The sequence below is a fragment of the Homo sapiens genome, chromosome Y (genome assembly GCF_000001405.40).
Source record: "Homo sapiens chromosome Y, GRCh38.p14 Primary Assembly".
Classification (NCBI taxonomy): Eukaryota; Metazoa; Chordata; class Mammalia; order Primates; family Hominidae; genus Homo; species Homo sapiens.
Window position 1 is genome coordinate 14,734,067 of NC_000024.10, and position 21,358 is coordinate 14,755,424.

Consider the following 21,358-nt stretch of genomic DNA (forward strand, 5'->3'; position numbering starts at 1 on the left):
GGTAAATGTGGGGGATTTTATTGCCAGTAGAATTGCTCTCAGGGGGAAGGGAAGCTGGGATAGAGCAGAAAGTTAACCTTCCCTAGAAATCCAGTCATTCATGGTCAAAATCCTCTCCAAAGCTGCACCATCACGATGTACTTCTGAAGTCAAGCCACTTCTCTCTGATGTCCAACCATTGTCTCTAATGTCCAGTTGGTATTTCCCTCTGCTGTTTATGCCTAGAGTTTTTATGGGCACCAAATGAGGGGCAGGGAGGGCCATGGGTGGTTTTGGAAAAGGCAACATTCAAGTAAGAAGACAGGAATGTAAGTTCTCACTTTGGGCTGTGGTTGCATGCTTTTTGGCTTGAGGGTGGAGCCCTCTCCAGGTACCCACTCTCTTCTGCCCATAATTTCCCTGCCTCTGTCCCTATCAATTTTATATTTATTTTAGGTATGCAAGAGGCACATTTTTGTGGAAGTTTGAAAATGTTTAATTATTTTAAATCTCCTTTTGTTCATTTAAGGAATGTCTTTGGAGCTCAGATGTCATTACACATGTTTCCTGACTTTGGGGAGCTTCCTTGCTAACATGGGAAATAAACAGAGTCCCTAGTAATTATTTCCAAGTTTCTTAGGTAACCAATTATATGTATTCTACACCCCTTAGCAGTGAGTGTTCATGTTGTCAAATTTCCACTTGTTCTTAAATGAGATTAAAACACAACAACAACGATGTTTAAAAGTTTCAACTATAAGAATATAAAATCAATGTATACTCCTTTGGGTTTTTCTCTAATTTTTTCACAGAATTCTGGTTTGCAAAAAGCCAGTAGCTGATTTATCTTCTGAAGATCTCTGTCTAAAATTAATAGGTATACTTTCATAAGCACACTTCATTTTGCAGGTGAAAAATTTTCTCCCAACAATTGTATATGATAGTGATTTACAAGTCAGTATTTTTGCTGTAAAGAGCGTGCCTCTAAGTATCATGTGAAGTAATTTAAATTATGCCATTTTTTAGTAAGCATGTTGACTGAATCTCATGTATTTCCACTGATTCCACACTAAACAAACTATGTTTTATTTTTACTGCATTTGACTTGGTTTATATAGTTTACATAGACACTTTTGTATGTCTAAGCATGCCTGAGCATTATACTACATGGCATGGTAATGTGGTTTGGCTGTGTCGCTACTCAGATCTCATCTTGAATTGCACTTCCCATAATCCCCACATGTCATGGGACAGACACAATGGGAGGTAATCGAGTCTTGTGGGTGGCTATCTTCATGCTGCTCTCAAAATAGTGAGTTCTTATGATATCTGATAGTTGTATAAGGGGCTTTTTCCCCTTTTGCTCAACATTTTTGTTGCTACCACCATTTGAAAAACACGTTTGCTTCCCCTTCTTCCATGATTGCAAGTTCCCTGAGGACTCCCCAGCCATGCTGAACTGTGAGTCAATTAAACCTTTTTACTTCATAAATTACCCAGTCTTGAGTATGTCTTTATTAGCAGTGTGAGAACGGACTAAATACAGTAAATTAGTTCTGAGAGTGGGGTGCTGCTGTAAAGATACCTGAAAATGTGGAAGTGACTTTGGAACTGGGTTAAACAGGCAGAGGTTGTAACAGTTTGGAAGGCTCAGAAAGGAAGATATGGGAAAGTTTGGAACTTCCTAGACACTTGTTGAATGACGTTGACCAAAATGCTAATAGTGATACGGACCATGAAGTCCAAGCTAAGGTGGTCTCTGATGGAGAAGAGAAGCTTGTTGGGAACTGGAATAAAAGTGACTCTTGCTATGTTTAAGGAAAGAGACTGGCAGCATTTTGCCCCTGCCCTAGAAATCTGTGGAATTTTGAACTTGAGAGAGATGATTTATAGTATCTGGTGGAAGGGGAATTTGGGGTTAGAACCCACATACAGAGTCTCCACTGGGACACTGCCTAGTGGAGCTGTGAAAAGAGGGGCATACTCCAGACACCAGAGTGGAAGATTGCACCAAGCACCTGGAAAAGCCACAGAGGGTCAATGCCAGCTATTGAAAGCAGCTGGTGTTGAAGGGTGTATGCAGCAAAGCCACAGGTGTGGAGCTTCCTAAAGCCATGGGAGCCCAACTTTTGCATTATTGTAACTTGGATGTGAGACATGGAGTCAAAGAAGATTATTTTAGAGCTTTACAATTTGGCTGCCCCACAGGATTTTAGACCTGGATGGGACCTGTAGCCCCTTCATTTTTGTGAATTTCTCACATTTGGAACAAGTGTTTTTTAGCCAATGCCTCTACTCCCATTGTGTTTGGAAGTAACTAACTTGCTTTTGATTTTACAGGCTCATAGGCAGAAAGCACTTGTCTTGCCACAGGTGAGACTTTGGACTTGGACTTTTGAGTTAATGCTGAATGAGTTAAGACTTTGGGGGACTGTTGGTATGATATGATTTGTGTTTTGAAGTGTGAGGACATGAGATTTGGGAGGGTCTAGGGACCGAAAGATATGGTTTGGCTGTGTCTGCATCCAAATCTCATCTTGAATTATAGTTTCCCTAATCTCCTTATGTTGCGGGAGGGACCCAGTGGGAGGTAATTGGATCTTGGGGGCAGATACCCTCATTCTGTTCTCATCATAGTGAGTTTTCATGAGATCTGATGGTTTCAGAAGGGGCTTTTCTCCCATTTGCTCTGCCCTTCTCCACGCTGCTGCCATGTGAAGAAGGACATTTTTGCTTCACCTTCTGCCACAATTAAGTTTCCAGAGGCCTCTCCAGCCCTGTGGAACTGTGGGTTAATTAAATGTTTTTTCTCTATAAATTACCCAGTCTTGGGTATGTCTTTATTAGCAACATGAGAATGGACTAATATCCATGGCACACAGAAATCTTTCTGGGGAGAAAATCATGGTCTACAATATTTTCTTACTCAGAAATAAGGGGATTCTTTGGGAAATCATCTTCCAGATAAAATCATAGCAAGCTGTGGCAGGAGATTTCTGAAGATCAAACATCCTTGTATGTGTCTATAAATATTATCTGAGTCAGCACTCACAATCTGATAAATGCCCTATGTGTTCCAGTTTTCAAATGGTAGGTTTTGAGACAGAATTCACATGTCAGATGAGTCACATAAATTTGCAGAATGTCTGTGAAGGGGCATGGATATCTTTGGTTAGTAACTACCCAACCATTTTCCAAAGTGGACTTGATCTTTGGTATTAGAATTGAGAAGTCCACCTGACCTAAAGAGAATAAGGTATCATCAGGAAGAAACAATATAAAACAAATTTTTTTACTGTTCCATTAGCCAAAGGCAGATGATGTCTTAGAGATGTTTGGTTACATAGAGGAGAATCAAATTAAAACACACAAAACAAAGCTATCCTCCTATTAATATGATTTACTGTATAGGACACACTAATTTACTTGGTGAGAAAAGAAAATGGTTTAGGGGTACAAAATGCAGTTAGATAGAAGGAATAAATTATATGATTGGATAATGTGGTAGGAAAATGTATATTTCAAAATAGCTGGAAGAGAAGAATTGGAATATTCCTAACCCAAAGAAAAAATAAATATTTGAGATGATGAATATCCCAGTTACTCTGATTGGATCATTACACATTGTTTACAGGGGTGAACATATTACATTTGCCTCTAAAATATGTTCAAATGTATTATATTGATAATAAATAAGTAAATAAATGGCAAAAAACAGCATTTCCAAAAGAGTATATTTCTATTAATAACTTTTTAAAGGGAAAGAGTCCGATGAATTGCAATAAGGTTAAAAGACAGAAAGATCCTGTCTCTAAAAAAAAATAATAAAAATAAAAATACATAAATACATTGCCAAAAGGTTAAAGAAGTAAAAACCTTCTACACATCCATAACTATAGCACCATTCTTGCTGTGGTAACTATGGTTTTCTCTAGGCTTAAATATTTTAATTATATTTTATATTGATACTTGCTAATAATATAATATGTATTGTATAGATGACAGACTGGCCTTTTTGTGATGGCTTTTGCTTGCTTGGCGTATGGTAAAATTATTTATGAAACTTTAGGAAAAAGGTTTTTATATTTTCTTTTTTCTTTAGTATTGTGGAGTACAGTTCAAACTAACTAGGAAAATTAAAGACCTAAGATATTTTATAATTATATTAATATCATGAGTAATTACAAAAATAACAATAATGACTTTCACTCTGTTTTCCAGTCCTGTTCAAGATATTTACATGCAATGTCCAATTCAATTCACAAAAGCAATAAAAAGAGACGCTATTTTTTTTTCCATTTGTCAAACAGTAAAGCTAAGGTTACAGTCTTTCTTATTGATAACCTGGTGGTGATCTTTTGGGATATCATTGGAATCCCATTGGTTTTTCTCCAGAGGTACCTGCCATTAAGACTTGTTGCCTCAGTGGTTGATATTGGCCAAGACTTCTTAAGTAAAAAATTATTTAATGTTAGGACTTCTGCCTCACTTTTCTAATTAGTGGAGCATTTTGCCTCTCTACAGAAGAGAATCCCGGAAAATGCAAGAGCTGTCTGGTGTTGCTTAGTGTTCCTGATAATCTAGTATTTTCAGTAACGTTAACTCATATCCGCAGGGCTATGGAGGGGGTCACATATTTTTATTCAATTAAATGTCAACACTTGAGAAAAACTTTGACTGTCAGAAAAAAACTGAGTGAGATACTCAGCAAATTGTTTAACAGTTGGGGAGTTTGCAATAGTCTATGAAAACTGTTTTACTTTATAGAGCCAGAGAAATTTTTCATTGACCCTAGCACAGTGTTGGTTTCACTCAGGGATGCTAACTTTGCTAATATATTTATCCATATACTGATATAATAATTATAATATCATGCTTGTCACTCACTTTGTAACAACCAACCACATTGTCAGAAATAACATTTGTTATCCCATCTCCCTCCTACAAAAATCCTATGAGATCCTAATATTATCTTGATTTTCTTTAAACAAATACCACCAGAGGCCCCCTCTTCTTGAATTAAGTTGGGTTTATTGACTCTTATGTATTTCTATTAGTATTATTATTATTCATTACAGATAGGATCTTGCTGCGTTGCCCACTCTGGTGTGCAGCTGTGTGATCATAACTCATTACAGCCTCCAACTCCTGGGCTCAAACAATCCTCCCACCTCAGCCTCTTGAATAGCTGGGACTACAGTTGCCTGCCACCACGTTTGGCTAATTTTTATTTATTTTTTTTTACAGGTGTGATCTCATTATGTTGTCCAGGCTGGTCTTGAATTCATGACCCCAGATGTTCTTCCCACTTCTATTGACTCTTTACAACAAGAAAGAATATGTACATAGGGGATGTCTCAGTACAAGGGTAGGAAAGAGTTAGAGAATTGGGGCTTGTTTTAAATGATTTACAGAGGGTTCTGGAAAACTGTGCTTGAATTTGGAATTGATACTTTCAGGACGTGTTGGCAGTTCTATGACTGGTTATCTTAATCTTATGTAAGAGGAGGAAAAATGAAGCATAGGTTAAAGCAATGGTTGACAAAGAAACAACAGTCACTGATGATACCAAGGACAGGTGGACACTTGATCATGTTTGAGTGTTTGAATAACCACTTTTTTGTGTAAGTGTCCAGACATGATTACAATGTGGTCTTCATTTTGTCTTGTTCTTTCATGATCACACAGTGGTTTTTCCTTCTGTCACTGTTCCATTATTATTATTATTATTACTATTATTTATATTCAATAGAACAATGGCACAACCTAGCTGCAAGGGACAGGAAAACACCCAGGATTGCCAGGGTTTAGGTGACATTGCCAGGTCAGCTGCTGATCACCAGGGATTGCTTTTCTCTTTTGTGAGTAACTGAATATTAAATAAACCGAGTAACATATCCCAAATCCTACCGAGAGTTGGAGGTAATACTGGAGTCTCAACAAAGACTATAGAGGAGAGTCTAGCCCATTCATCTCCAGGCTTTTCTCTAGGAAACCAAAGACCAATATTATATTTGTTGCAGAAAAGAGACACCCTATAGTCAACATAATGTCCAGTGAGAGTTAATTTTAATGAGGTTCTTTTTCAGAATTCAAGAAAGCTGGAGAAAAGAGGCGTTGTGTAACTCACATACCAGGAGGCATCTTCTGTAGCTAGTCAGCAGATGCCTCTTCCACTGGAGGGATGCGATCTTAAGGATAGGAGAATTCCATTTATAACCAAGACCGCTTCATTCATGGGCCTGGATTGGATAGGGATGGCCCATACCAAGGTCTTTGATTCTCGCTTTTATTGTTACATTCTGTATGACTGATTCAGATTTGTCCGCACTAATATATTTTCTCTGGTTCTGATCATTGTGGCCATGTCTTCCTAGAACAAAGGCCTTGGGTTAATTTTTGCAGAGTAATGACGTTCTCAGCAGCAGCTGAACTCTGTAGATCAATATTCCTCTTTCTTGTTTTCTTCCAATGGCAACTAAACATGCAAGACACATCAGGAGAAGGGTATGAGATTCCCCAATAGCTAACCAGCAATAATAATGCAACATGTAAGGCTAATGCATGCCCTTGAAATGCCAAGGGATAAATTCATATGCATTTTTTCATTTGGGGTTTGAAGAGCCAGATGACATGCAAAAGAAAAATATTGACAAAAGATATCTTATCATTTATTTTCAATTATTAAGCTTGATTTTCATACATTCAAACTTAGTTTTTTAACAGGTACATGACTCTAGTTTTTGAAAGCCAGAAGAATGCACATATAAAATCTTTTTTGTCTAACAAATTAATCCCATGTTTCTTGGTTCTGATGCTTGCATACTGCTTATGTTAAAACAATTGTGAGCAAGCCCAAACTATACTTTTTTTTTTGAGATGGAGTCTCACTGTGTTGTCCAGGCTGGAGTGCAGTGGCGCGATCTCAGCTCATTGCAAGCTCTGCCTCCCAGTCTCACACTATTCTCCTACCTCAGCCTCTGGAGTAGCTATATTATACTTATTTTTAAAATGACAGTACGGCTGAGGTATTCAAAATATGTTTAAAGGTTCTAACAGAAACATGTTAGAAAAAAAGAAGCTTGACAGCTTTTAAGTTTATTAGATACAGAAATTTATACTTAGATTTATTTAGATTGAAAATTAATCCTAAGGCATTTAACCAGCTGGGAGAGCTTATGCATGCATACGAGTTTCAAGCTGCAACTAAGGCAGTTGGGCAGCAGTAGAAACAAAAAGTTGATATTTATTTTCTTTCAGAACCAACTGTGACTGATTAACCACAAAAGATCAGCAGGGGTATTTGGGCCTAGGTCATGTTGATGGCCTTTTGGGTTTTAGTTTGCTTTAGGGTTCATTGCTGCAAAAGGAAGCCTCCTCTACAAATGAGATGAGACTGCATGAGTACAAAGCAGAGAGATGCAGTGCTTTCTACAGCACTGAGTAGGCAAATTGTGCAGATTTTTCAGTAGAATCTACTTAACACCAATCCATGCATTTGCATTTTATTAAAATGAAACTATGATAATTTAAACTGCACATTGCAGATATGACCTATAAAATGTTTGATGTCCTATTTTTAACAAAAGTTTTGAAAATTTGCACTCCATATCAATTTCTCTACTTATGTGTTTTAGTTATTTTTTGTAAAGAATGCCAGATTTTCAAAGCAAGTAGGCCAAGAGGATGATCTTTTTTTCCTCCTTTTTTTTCCCCCGATGTTTAAAATGCAACTGCCATGGGGCTGTGCCCTTTTAGCTGTTGGAAAAAATAATCTACTATGCCTTGGTTGTATGTGTGAGTCACCAGACCTTCTGGGAATGATTCTTTGGCACATTCTACCAACAATTTAACATGATACAAAATCATTTTCATATCTTGTGATAGTGTCAGCCAAGTGTTTCATACACATGGAGATAAGTGCTGAAAAAGGTGTTTGAATAAAATTGTTTTCTTAAAGCAACTATAGAGGATGAGATAAAAGGATGCACAATTACATTTCATAAATTGAGAGAGTTTCCTAAACAAGAGAGCATTCCTGGAAATGCAGAGAAAAATAAAAAGATCTTAAAGATGTTGTATTAAGATAAGTTAGACTAAGGCAGCTTGGACATGTGTCTCCTTTACTTCATGTTTATATATAAGTAAACATTAAAAGTAGAGGAATTTCAGTTTCCACATAACTTATATAGGAGCAACAAATGGGGCTTTCAACTACTGACCACATTGGCATATCACCCAATGTTTTCTTTCAGACTTCTCTACCTACGACAAAACCATTGTGGTATTAGAGCTTCATGAACTGTGTATCTTTGATTAGTTGATTTAACCTGTCTGGCCCTCATTTTTCTCATCTGTAAAATAATTGAGTCTTATGTGATTTGAAGATCAAAAGAATTACTACACAAACAGTGCTAGTAAGAGTCCCTGCCACATAGAAAGGCTAGTACACACACACACATACATATATACACACACCCCCTCATACTTTTATATATTAAAGGTGTATGATTTATGAATTATTGCATTAGAAATGTAAATCTGTTATATATATCATATATATGATAAGTGAAATACAGATTATGTAATTTACACCACCTATTTTATTTTGTAACTTCGTAAACAGATTTTGAAAATTTTATTTTGTGTGTATGTCTTCCAAGTCATTCCCTAAACTTCATTAAAATCCCTTTGATTTATGGGAAAATATCTGTATATATCAGGTATTCATATATATAACACATATAACTCTTCTGAGGTTATAAACACACATATATTTATAACATAGAAAATTACTAACTCATATATGTGCCTATCTATATATAATTTTCATATATAACATTGTATATTACATATAAATATTTATATTACATACGAATAATCATCACGTTCTGACAGAATTTGTTAATCTAACCTCCCTCAACCCCACCCCAAAAAAAGTAGAAACTAAAAATAGAGGAATTTTAAGTTCCACATGATTTATGTATAAGCAAAAAATGGGACTACTGACTACAGATCACGTTAGCTAATTGTACAGTTTTCTCTTCTGTGCTTTGTTGTAAATATGATTTTTATTTAAGAGGATATTATTAATTATCTATACAAGAATTGGCTATCTTCTCCAAACTTCTACTTCGGTTTCATGTTTTTAAAAGGGGTGAGGATAGGCTGAGCACAGTGACTCACACCTGTAATCTCAGCACTTCAGGAGGCCAAGGCAGGTGGATCACTTGAGGGAAAGAGTTTGAGTGGCCTCGCCAATGTAGCAAAGTCTGATCTCTGCTAAAAATACAAAAATTAGCCAGGAATTGTGGTGCATGCCTGCAGTCCCAGCTACCTGCGAGGCTGACACAGGAGAATCACTTGAACCCACTAGGTGGAGGTTTTAGTGAGATGAGATCATCCCACTGCATTCCAGCCTGGGTCACAGAGCAAGATACTGTCTTTAAAAAAAAAAAAAAAAAGTGAAAAGGGTGAGGATTGTTATTTCTATGGGCAGGCCCACACAGCATTGGATTCCTCAGAAACTGCACAGTAAACGGGAGTCTCTTAGCACATCTGACAGAACTTCAAGGGGCTGACTGTTCATTATCCCACAGCCCACTCTGCTCTGTGTAAGTGGAGACTCCATGTCTTTGTTGTCTTGCAGTCCCTAGATGATAAGGGCACAGAGAAAAATCACAGAAATCAAACATGGTAGCACAGAAAAACACCCCAAAGTCAAGGATAAGATGAAAGTTGTGATCGTACACATCAAAGTCGGACTCTTATCTAGATGGGCACACCTAAGCCACAGGCTGACAGGCTGAGATTCTACAAAGGCTCTGGACCCCAGATAAGTTTAAGTGATTGCATCGTGATCTCTTCTTTTCATTGGTGGAGGCAGTGCTTTGAATGACTAAGCTGGATATCACTTTCCAGGGAATCCTTTTAGGGAATGTGACCATCCAGCTATCTCTGGATGTCTTTGGTGCCATAAATACTTTTCACTTGGTTGAGGATACTTTTAGTTTTATATTCATGCGTCAACTTGTACAGAAATGTGTGTTTTGGGCTTGTAAAAAAGTTTAATCATAAGACAAAGGGCTACAGGTTTCATGTTTATTCACAGTTTGATGAACGGCACTTATGGACACATATGTGTATACGGTAAGTGCTCACTGAATTCCTCTTGAGTGATAAGCTAGGATACAAAATGTCAGAAGATAAAGAGTGAGGATGGGCACTGGATCCAAATGTCAGTGAACTCTGAGGGTCTCTTGCTGGTTGAAACAACAGAGTACTTTTATTTTCATTCTAAACCCTCCATGACCCATGTCCTTATACCAATGAATCACCTCCTCAATAACCCCTCAAACATGGCATCTTTGAAGTAGAGCCTCATTGACAAGCACTAATTAAATGTCTGTCATGGATACTAAAATGTATATACGGCCTTTGTGCCTGGACAACAGTACATGTGTCAGCTGTTTCTTAAGCCTACATCCAACCATTAAGTAAAGCCCAGTGCGCTCTTAGTTCCTCAAATCTGTTCAAGTCTTGATGTTTGTTCAACATTTTGCCTGGCTCCAGTCATATGTCTCCAGCTATCTGTAATGGACTCAATATCCTGCTTATAAAATGCTTTAGTCATGTGGGTTCATTTTTGGTTTAGCTGTATAGGTCAGGAATAAGTTAGAAATAACCAAAATACTCCAAATCAAGTTCTAGCTGTTTTGATACAAACATTTTCCATCAACCTTACTTCTCCCTAACTCATCTGTCTGTTTCTGTGCCCTTTCCCATGGGGTAAAACCTTTTATAGTATCCAGATGCCTTCTACACACAGAAGCAATTTTGTGCAAAAGGCTCCCCAGGGGAAGAAGAGGACAATGCCTTCATGGGAAGCTCCTTTCTGTTAAATCGGATTTGCATACCTAACCAAAGCATTTGCTTCAGTTAACCAAGTGAGGGTGGAGAAAGTCTTGCAAAACTATAGCTACATTGAGAGGGATTATTAAAATTATTCAGTCATTCATTAGAGGAGCTTTGACAAAGATTGCAGAAACAGATATAAAACAGGAAATATTAACAAAAACATTCTCAAAAATATTTTATAATGTCCAGAACAACTGGCATGACTAACATCAAAGAAGGGATATGTTTTGACATTGATTTACTAACCACTTATCATTGATACTAAATCCTCCTTTGAATACTTATTTACGATTAAGACAGTCAAGTTATATGAGTATGTTCAACCAACAAAGGTTGCAAAACATAGTGAATTTAATATTCCTCTGCCATATGGCCATCCTACACTTCTGCATCACAGTCATGGCTCTGCAAATAGATCAGACTTTTTGGCCAGTCCCTTGGGGGTCACTGCATTCTAAGGTGCTTGACCAGGAAGTAAGATGCTCTTCTCACTAAGTGATATACGTGTGGTCCTTGTGGATCTGCTAAGAATCTCAGAAAAGGAATAAAAGATACATGAAATTGTTTGCATGCTACTAGCTCTAGTGGGTAGATTGGTGGCATATTTCTTCTTGGCAAAAGACAGAAAGTATCCAAAAGTTCACCATTTTTCTCCTGGTTGGGGAATGGTGTCTTTTAGACCATTTTGTTCAAAAGAAAGGTAAAAATAGCATGAAAAGAGAACCCCTAAATTGCCTTACTCAAGCCTTCTACTCTAAGTGACTTGTATAAAATGTCTTGTTCAGTAGTTACCCAACTCCAATCTACCCCTAAGAGGTTCTAGTAAAGTACAGATTAGCTGGATTTAATAAAGCACAAATAGGTAGCAGATGCATTCTTACATCTCAATCTAATCGGTAACCTTCTTTATCCTCACCCATGGCTGACTACTATGCATAAAGAATAGGAATTCTGACCACTCAAGAATCTTAACCATACATTCAGTCTGTTGCAGTTTCTCCTCCATTACACATTTTTTTTTTTCGCTTTTCTATCCTTGGACAGCCACAGACAGGACAACTAGTCAATAAGAAATGAGTGTGAAGGTGACAACTTTCCTCACTAAGAGGATAGGGGCCATGAGAGGAAAAGGGTACTTCTTGTGTGGCTGGTAATGGAGTTAAAATTTGATGCTACAGTCTTCTGGGAGCAGCAGCTGTATGTGCTTGAACTTTACTTTGGAGGCATCCTCTAATTCCAGGGGTTCTGTGGCCAGTACCATCCACTGCAGTTCACTTAACTTGGGCTGAGTCTGTTTCTTCCCTCCATCACTTCAGCTGGACCTATTCTTTGACCCTCACATGGTTTCCAGTGGTGAAACCAGGGAAGAGTCTCTTTGTAGAGGACCAAGGAGCACTTTTTTCTATGTAGTGCACATTTGGCTCCATCACCATCATAGCTAACATGTCCAACCCTCCAGCATCTTCAACCTTCGCCACTGTCTTTGCACTGCCCCATAAGGCCTGAATAAGGCTGATGGGTCATGTATGGCAGGGCCACCCCAACAGTCTAGTAATAGGTCTTGCATTGTTGGACACACTTCTTGATTTAGAACTATGGCTTTCAGTCATGGTTAGGTGTGCCCCAGTTGGCAAGGTAAGGAGACATTTCCAGTTGTTACAGTGAGTTTGAAGGGTGTTAATGCATTTAGTTCATGGAGACCAGGGTTGCTGTTCAATATCCTACAATGCACAGGACACTTGCCCATAGCAATGATCTGATTCCAAATGTCAACGGTGCTGACATCAGTAAACCCTGCTCTAAGTCAATGCTTTTTTTGTATGCATATTTTAAAAGTCTCCTCCAGCTAAACCATTAGCTTTTAATGGGGTATACATTTTTCTTTCCAAGGGATGTTTGGTTATGCCTGGAGACACTTTCAGTTTTTGCAGCCAGAGTTTGGTGATGTTTCTGGTATCTAATTGATACTAATCCTAGATGCTGCTCAACATACTACTATGCAGAGTATGGCTCACCAGAACAAAGAATTATCCCATTCATAATGCCTCTAGAATTAAGATTGAGAAACCTTGGTTTAGAATACAGGGAGAGCTAGTGGTATCCTCTAAGATGCTGTCTGGAAGCAGCTTTGAAGACAAGCAGAGACCAGAGACTTTGAAGCCATACTCACAGGGTTTGATATAGTTTGGATATTGGTCTTCTCCAAATCTTGTGTTGAAATTTGATCCCCACTCTTAGAGGTGGGACTTGGTGGGAGGCATTTCTGTCTTGGGCCAGATCTCTCTCATGAATGACTTGATGCAGTCCTCCAGATGATGCATGAGTTCTTGCTCTGTTATTTCCCGGGAGATCTGGTTGTTATAAATAACCTGGCACCTTCCTCTCCTCTCTCTCTTGTTTCCTCTCTCGCCATGTGATCTGTGCACACAGCAGCTCTCCTTCCCCTTCCACCATGAATGGAAGTTCCCTTAGTCCCTCATCAGAAGCAGATGCTAGTACCATGCTTCTTGTACACCCTGCAGAACTGTGAGCCAAATAAACTTCTTTTCTTTTCTTTTTATTCTTCTAATTAGAGACAGGATCTTGCCTTGTTAGAAAGGAGTACAGTGGTGCAATCATTGCTCACTGGAGCATCAAACTCCTAGGCTCAAGCCATCCTCTGACTTCAACTTCCTGAGTAGCTAGAACTACATATGGCATGCCTCCATGTCCAGTTAATGTTTATTAAAAATAGTTGTAGGGACAGAGTCTTGCTGTGTTGCCTAAGTTGTTCTCAAACTCCTGACCTCAAAGGATCATCCTCCTTCATCCTACTAAAGTGCTAAGATTACAGATGTGAGCTGCCATGCCTCGACTGTCTTCTCTTTATAAATTACTCAGCCACAGGTATTCTTTTATAGCAATGCAAATGGAGTAAGACATTGTACAAATCCCACATTAGGCACTTATAGATCTGTCTGTGATTCTGGACAAGTTATTTAACCACTCTTTGTGTCTAAACCTGTTGTTTGTTTCTTTCTTTATTCCTTATCAGGTCCAGCTCCAATGATGATAAAAATATAGATGTAAATGGAGCTAAGAGGGGTGCCTGACCAAGAGTAAACAGTCCAGAAGTGTTATTCTGTCAATATGACTTGGATTTTTGCTTCGAAACTTCAGCTGAAACTGACATGACAGGAAAAGGCCCAAATTAGAATTCTTCTTATGCAAAATTCCTTCTGTGAGGAGGTAGCCCATCTGTTGTCAAATAATCCGAGTTGTAGAAATTTATTAAATTTCTCCTTTCTTGCCCCTTGCCTCCTTCATTAAATGAAATCAGATGGTGACAGTATAAGGAAGTTAAAGTGAAGGTAAAATAAAACAGACAGGAAGAAGTCTGTCTTCAGATTAGACATGCAATTATTCCTGTCTTTGCTGCTGATTTCAATTATAACTCATTGGAATTATCAGTCCACAATAGATGTTCCCTGCCTATGTGGTGTTTTTAATTAAACGTTGACATCATTCTCACATGTTCACTGTTATTAGCACTGATGGATGTAATCTTCATGTTTTCCTCTGAACACTGCATGCCAAGAAAGGGGCCCTCTATCCTCACGGATTTTCTAGGCAAGAGAATATCAGGCCCTCATCTGTCATATTTCCATCTCATTCAGCACAAAACACCCTGGCTCATGGAAACTGCAAGCATCGTTGTCAGCTGCACCTGCAGGCACCACGGGATTGCAAGTCAGCATACCCTTTCAGAAATGAGGATGAAATTAGAGGTAGAGAGAAAATTCTCCACTGTCCTCTCACTTGTCTCTGTTATGGTTTCTGCTATGTTTTCATTGATTATGCTATAGGGAGAAAGGAGGAAAAGAATCCCCTAAGAAGAACAGTGTCTCACTGGACATTGTTTCTTTGCAAAAAAAAAAAAAAAAAAAAAAAAGAAAAAAAAAGAAAGAAAGAAAGAAAGAAAGAAAGAAAGAAAGAAAAAAAGAAAAAGAAAAGAAACATTTTTGGTATTTTTCACTTTTTCCACCCTAGAATCTAGATACCACCTTTAAACAGATTTGAATCCCACAGGGAGAATGTGGTCATATATTTCACTACAAATGCTAGACCATGTCTTCTGGCGTCAGAAATGCTGTATTGTGCATGTGTTCTTGCTGCAAGCCATCTTCAACTTGGTTTTTCAGGGATAGGCAAAACATTAGGCAATCTGAATAAAATTGCATTTCTTGCAACTGAAAATTTTTGCATGCACCCACATACGTGTATTGGTATTACTGTACAGCTTGCATGGTGCAAAGCTGAAGGCTAAGGGATTAAAGGAGGCTGAAATTTAGCCCTGGACACACTGTGCAGCCTGGGTACCTGTAGGGCTGCAATTCCTGGCTAGAGGTGTGTCTATTTCTCATGCATCCAGTAGAAGGCACCCTTTTGAAGGTCTCTCAACCCTCTCCTCATTCCCCTCCACCTATCATATTTAGCATATTGTGTATTTGTCCTTAGTCTGTTTAATCCAACTTGATCACTTTGTAGCCTTTCTTTATTCCCAGTGTGTAAATCAGTATTTTGAATGCATTGAGCTAAGTTTCAGACATATGCCTTTCCAAATAGACTATCATGAAGGATGCTATTCTGGCGCAGCTATGCATTCTCTTCTGTGTAAGAATGCTCATTGTGTAGTCTCTCCTTTTAAAGTCTGTTTAGTGTAATGTTCGCTGACTTTTCCATGCACCTCTTATGTAATCTTTTGCCAGTTCTACCATTTCCAATAACCAATGAAGATACTTGCTTCATGTTAAATTCTAAGTAATCTACTTTCTATTGAACTAAATCATTTCTCCACAAAATGTCTTTGAATAATTAAAGATCTTATAATGTGGTTTCCATAGACTGAACTGAATATTTCATGTGGCTAGATAAGTAGGTAAAGTACAGTATAGTAGCAATTGGTGTACACACTTAGAATGTCCTAATAAATTATTGCAGATACTGATATGCAATGAGAAAGAATAACTGTAGTGTTAAGCCCCAGATGGTATTATAGACCTGAGGGTGGGTGAAGATGGGCCTGGGATTAATGGATTGATAGCTCAGTTCATATTGGAGTTTCATATCTGAGATTCAGTGAATTCGAGGCTATTCTTCACCTGCTGCAATTCTAGGGAAGTGTGTCCATTGAGGAGTCGCTGAAGGGGCTGGGAGTTTGGATGGGGTTCTTTCAATACCCACCTTTTAAAAAAAAATAGTGTGGCTCTGTCATGCAGGTTGGAGTGCAGTGGTATAATCATGGCTCACTGCAGCCTCAAACTCCTGGGCTCAAACGATCCTCCTGTCTCAACCTCCCAAGTAGCTAGGACTACAGCTGGGCACCACCATAACTAGGCAATTGTTTTAAAAACTTTGCAGAGACAGTCTTGCTATGTTAGTTAGGGTGGTCTCAAACTCCTGGCCTGAAGCAGACCACCAATGTTAGCCTTCCAGGGTGCTGGGAGTAAGACATGAGCCACCGTGCTGAACTGCAATATCTTTTTAATTAGCGGGAAGTAGAAAACAGAAATTCTGCAGCATGTTTTTCTTGTTAACATGAATCAGTCTTGGGTGAAGTGTCCATAGTTTTTAATGATATTTTCAAAATGAACAATTTAGAGACAGGCATCAGAAACCACAAATAATAAGGCCATGTGAAGGAACACAATAGATGCATAAGGTTAATTGGTCAGCATTTATGCTGCACTTAGTTTCCCGTTGATTTTTTTTTAATGAGTTTGAAGTATAACACACAGAAACCAAAGTTCTGTGTTTTGTATTATGTTATATTATCAATGTTCAGTGCAATTTGAAAGCCTAAAGCAAGTATTTCTGTAACAAACACACATTTCAAGAAATATAATGTTCCTATCTTCAAAGCAATTCATGCTCTTTCCCATTTTGTCTCCTTATCCTCCTCAGTGATAAGCATTTTTCTCTTATGCTTTTCTTTATATTTTCCATGCTTTTCTTTATATTTTCCCAAAAAGAAAGGCATCCCTGCATCGCATAAATTTTGCTTGTTTGGAGATACTAAATGAATGCAACTTCATATTACTTTCCGATGTGTTCTTTTCAGGCATAATTCTGTTTTATAAAATTCTTACATGCTGCTATGTATACATTCATTCCACTACTTTTAATTGTTGTATAGTGTTCTAAAATCTGAATATATCACACTCCATATTTCCATTTTATTCCTAATTGATACAGATACTTTTTCCAGTTTGAGGTTATTATGGACTCGTGTTATGAACGTTGTTTTTCACGCATCCTCATTTCTCACAAGCATTGATTTTCTGAGATATATACCACTATGTAATTGCTGGTTCAAATCTTCAACTATATACTCTTTTGCAGTACACAAATGCCTGTTTTCACCAGCAGTATGCATCGTTCAACATGTAGCAGTATAAGAATTCTGTTTTCTTCTTCTGATCTAATGGGTGTATGTGGAAACTCACTGTGTGTTTATTGTGTTTTCCCTGGGATTGAGATGTTTCCATGTATTTATTGGCCGTTTGTTTTTCCTGATTAGTGGAAGCATCTGTTTGTTTTTGATTAGTTTTTCTATTAGATTGTGTGTCTTCTTATTGTTTTATTTTGATTAGAGTACTTCATTGATTATGTATGTCACAAATTTCTTCTTATGTTTTTTGTTTTTAATTATTTCTTATCTATTTTTTTTTTTTTTGAGATGGAGTGTTGCTCTGTCACCCAGGCTGAAGTGCAGTGGCATGATCTTGGCTCACTGCAACCTCTGCTTCCCAGGTTCAAGCAATTCTTCTGCCTCAGCATCCTGAGTAGCTGAAATTACAGGTTTGTGCCACCATGCCTGGCTAATTTTTGAATTTTTAGTAAAAACGGGGTTTCACCATTTTGGTCAGACTGGTCTTGAACTCCTGACCTTGTGATCCACCTGCCTCGGCCTCCCAAAGTGCTGGGATTACAGGTGTAAGCCACCTAATGATTTCTTTAAAGTTCTTACTCTTAGTTTACACACTTTACCATAATTTTTTTCAGATTAGCACTTTGGGATTTTTGTTAATGGTATCTTTTCCTACTCCTAGATATGAAGATTTCCTTTTACTTTATCTGCAAAAAGGCTTATGATTTTATCTTTGATATTGAAAATACACATTGATTTATTTATTGCATTCTGTAAGAGGTGTAGTTTATTTTCCCTTAGAATGTCACAATACCATTTATTTTAAACAATTTAACCCATATCACTAAAGTTCAACTGGTCTCTGTCTACCACTGTGCCAGTAATCACATTTTTTATCATCATGATTTTATAATAATACAAAATATCTAGTATAGCAAATATTCTTTCCTTGTTCTTTTGCAAGAGAGTCTTGGCTATCTTTGGTGTGTTGACTTTTGTATGAATTTTGGCATACCCACCTTGAAAAATAAATAAGCATCTGATTTTCAATTAATAATGAATTGAATTAATTAATTACTTAATCTCAAGGCTAGTTTGGGCTGATTGGACATCTTTAAACATTGAACAGACATATTCATGGAATTGTACATCCTTATACACATTTATGTATTTTAGATTTTTTTCTATTTCATATTCTGTACTATTTTGAATAGCAGTCTTTTATACATTTTGGTTAATTGATTTGTAAGAAAAGATGTTTTCAAAAGTATGGTAATGTTTGTTTTAAAATGTTCATTCTCTGTTATTGCTAAAATGGAAAATGCCATTACTTACTTGTTGAACATTAATTTTGCAACTTGTGAAACTCTTGTATTCTTTGGGATTTCCTAGAACACACTCCTATCAACTGTGAGTAAAAACAATTTTGCTATTCCTTTTTAATTTTTAGATGTGTTTATTTTTCTCTCCTTAACAGCTCATTCGTGTAACCCTTCAAGTACAATGCCAAATAGAACAAAGACTTGAGCATCTCTTTATGACTTTTGACTTTAAAGACAAGGTTTCCAACACCCTAACCCATTAAAATGAGGTCTTCAATTCTACTGACTTTTAGTTGTGAATTTTTATTAGATTAGGAAAATTCCCTTTTATTTTTTGTTTGCTAAAATATTTTTGAAGCTGTGAATGAATGGGTGTTGCATTTTGTTATTCTTTACTGAATGTAGTGTGGTTTTTTGGTTTCTTTTTTCTTTTCTTTTCTATTTTATTTTATTTTATTTTTTTGAGACAGAGTCTTGCTCTGTCACCCAGGCTGGAGTGCAATGGCGTGATCTCAGCTCACTGCAACCTCTGCCTCCTGGGTTCAAGCAATTCTCCTGTCTCAGCCTCCCCAGTAGCTGGGACTACAGGTGTGCACCACCACGCTCAACTAATTTTTTGTATTTCCATAGAGATGGGGTTTTACTGTGTTGCCCAGGCTGGTCTCAAACTCCTGAGCTCAGGCAATCCACCCACCTCGGCCTCCCAAAGTGCTGGGATTACAGGCATGAGACACCGCACCTGGCCAATTTTTTTTTCTCTTCAATGTCACTGTAATGATTTTATTATATATATATTACATTTTTGTAACATAATTATAATATATAATATATTTTATATATATAAAAGATGACTTTATATAAGATATATAAAAGATGATTTTATATATACATAAAAGATATGACTTTCTTTTATATGTGTTTATATATATACATAAAAGATATTTATAGATTTTAATATTAATTCCACTTTGTGTGTTGGGATGAACCTAATTTGAGAATTATATATTCATATGCTTTTCACGCATTGCCGAAAATAGTCCCTGGGTGATGTTGTTGGCAACTTTCTTAATCCTATTCTTTGAATTTTGGATAGAAGTTACACTATCATACAATAAAATTGAAATATATGTCTTTTTTTTAATACTTGAAGAGATTAAGATTGGGGATATATCTTCATTAATATGTTCCTGAACTAAGAAATACCACCGTCTCCGCATAGTTTTCCTTGTGGCTTGAGTTTTGGCAGCAAATTTGATGTCTTCCTTTCTTTTGTTTCTTTGTTTTGAGACAGGGTCTCATTCTGTCATCCACACTGGAGTGCAGTAGTACAATCATAGCTTACTGCAGCCTCAACTTCCTGGGCTCAAGCAACTAATTTGGTATCATAAATGATGGGGGGACTGGGTGTGGTGTCTCACACCTGTAATCCTAGCACTTGGGAGGCTGAGACAGGTAGATCACCTGAGGTCGGGAGTTCAAGATCAGCCTAGCCAACATGGTGAAACTCCGTTTCTACTACAAATACAAAAATTAACCAGGCTCTGTGGTGTGTGCCTGTAATCAGCTCCTGAGTAGGAGGTTTAGGCAGGAGAATCACTTGAACTCAGGAGGCAGAGGTTGCTGTGAGCCAAGATCACGCTGCTGCACTCCAGCCTGGGTGACAGAGCAAGAATCCATCTCAAATAAATAAATAAACAAACAAACAAACAAATAAATGATAGAAGGCTTATTCAGATGTGTACTTTTGAATCACTTTTGTTCTACTATACTTTTTCAAAGAAGTCTTTTTACTTCTTTTAAATTTTCAAATTTTTGAAAATGCCAAGGAACTAATTTTTGGTTTTCCTCTTCATTCTATTTTATGTTGTTTTTCCATTAATCACTACTGCTATCTTAATTATTTACTTCTGATAAATCTTGCTGTTGTTTTACTGTCTTCTTGAAATGCTGATTTTATTAACTTTAAGATATGCTTCTTTTCTCATATGTTAATATATACCTGGAAATTTTGCTCAAGTACTGAATTAGCTACATTCCACAAATCAGATAAATGATACTTTTGCTTTTGTTCAGATAAACTATTTTGTAATTTCTATTATTAATTTTTTAGTCATGAATTATTTCACAGATTATTCTTTAGTTTCCAAATAGACTTGTTTTTTTTCTGGTTGTTTATATTTTTATACTTCATTTATTTCTCACCAGTGTGCTTTGCATACTTGAGAAAAGTATATATTTTGCAATGGTTGGTGCAATATGTTATATGTCTAATATCTCAGACTGTTGAAGTATGTTGCTCACATACTCTATGTAGTTTTATAGGTAGTTTACATGTTCTTTCAGTAACTAAAATAGGTATATGAAATTTCCCCTTGATGTTTATGGATGTTTAAAACCTTTCCTATATTTTTTCAAACTTTAGTTTTTTGTGTTTGACGTGCTTATCAATTTTAGTGGATATGGTCTAGAATTGTTATTGAATTGTGGCAAATTGAGGTTGTTCTCATTATAAAATGATCCTCTTTAAGTTTTGTGGTGCTTCATGCCTTAATGTCTGTTTAGTCTGACATTAACATTACCTTATGTTTTAATGTTAATGTTATCTTATGTTTTGTTAATAATCGAATTGTGTATTGTTTCTATGTGTTTACTTCAGGCCTTTCTGCTGGCTCAGGCTTTGAGTGTTTTCTATGTAGCATCTATTTGGGTCTCATTATATTTGACTTTTAAC

At 37.1% G+C, this 21,358-nt stretch overlaps 1 protein-coding gene across 22 annotated transcripts in view; it reads left to right on the forward strand.

The window, feature by feature from the left end:
• Positions 1–21,358, forward strand: part of NLGN4Y (neuroligin 4 Y-linked) — a 323,039-nt gene that overhangs the window by 211,451 nt on the left and 90,230 nt on the right. The window lies entirely within an intron of this gene.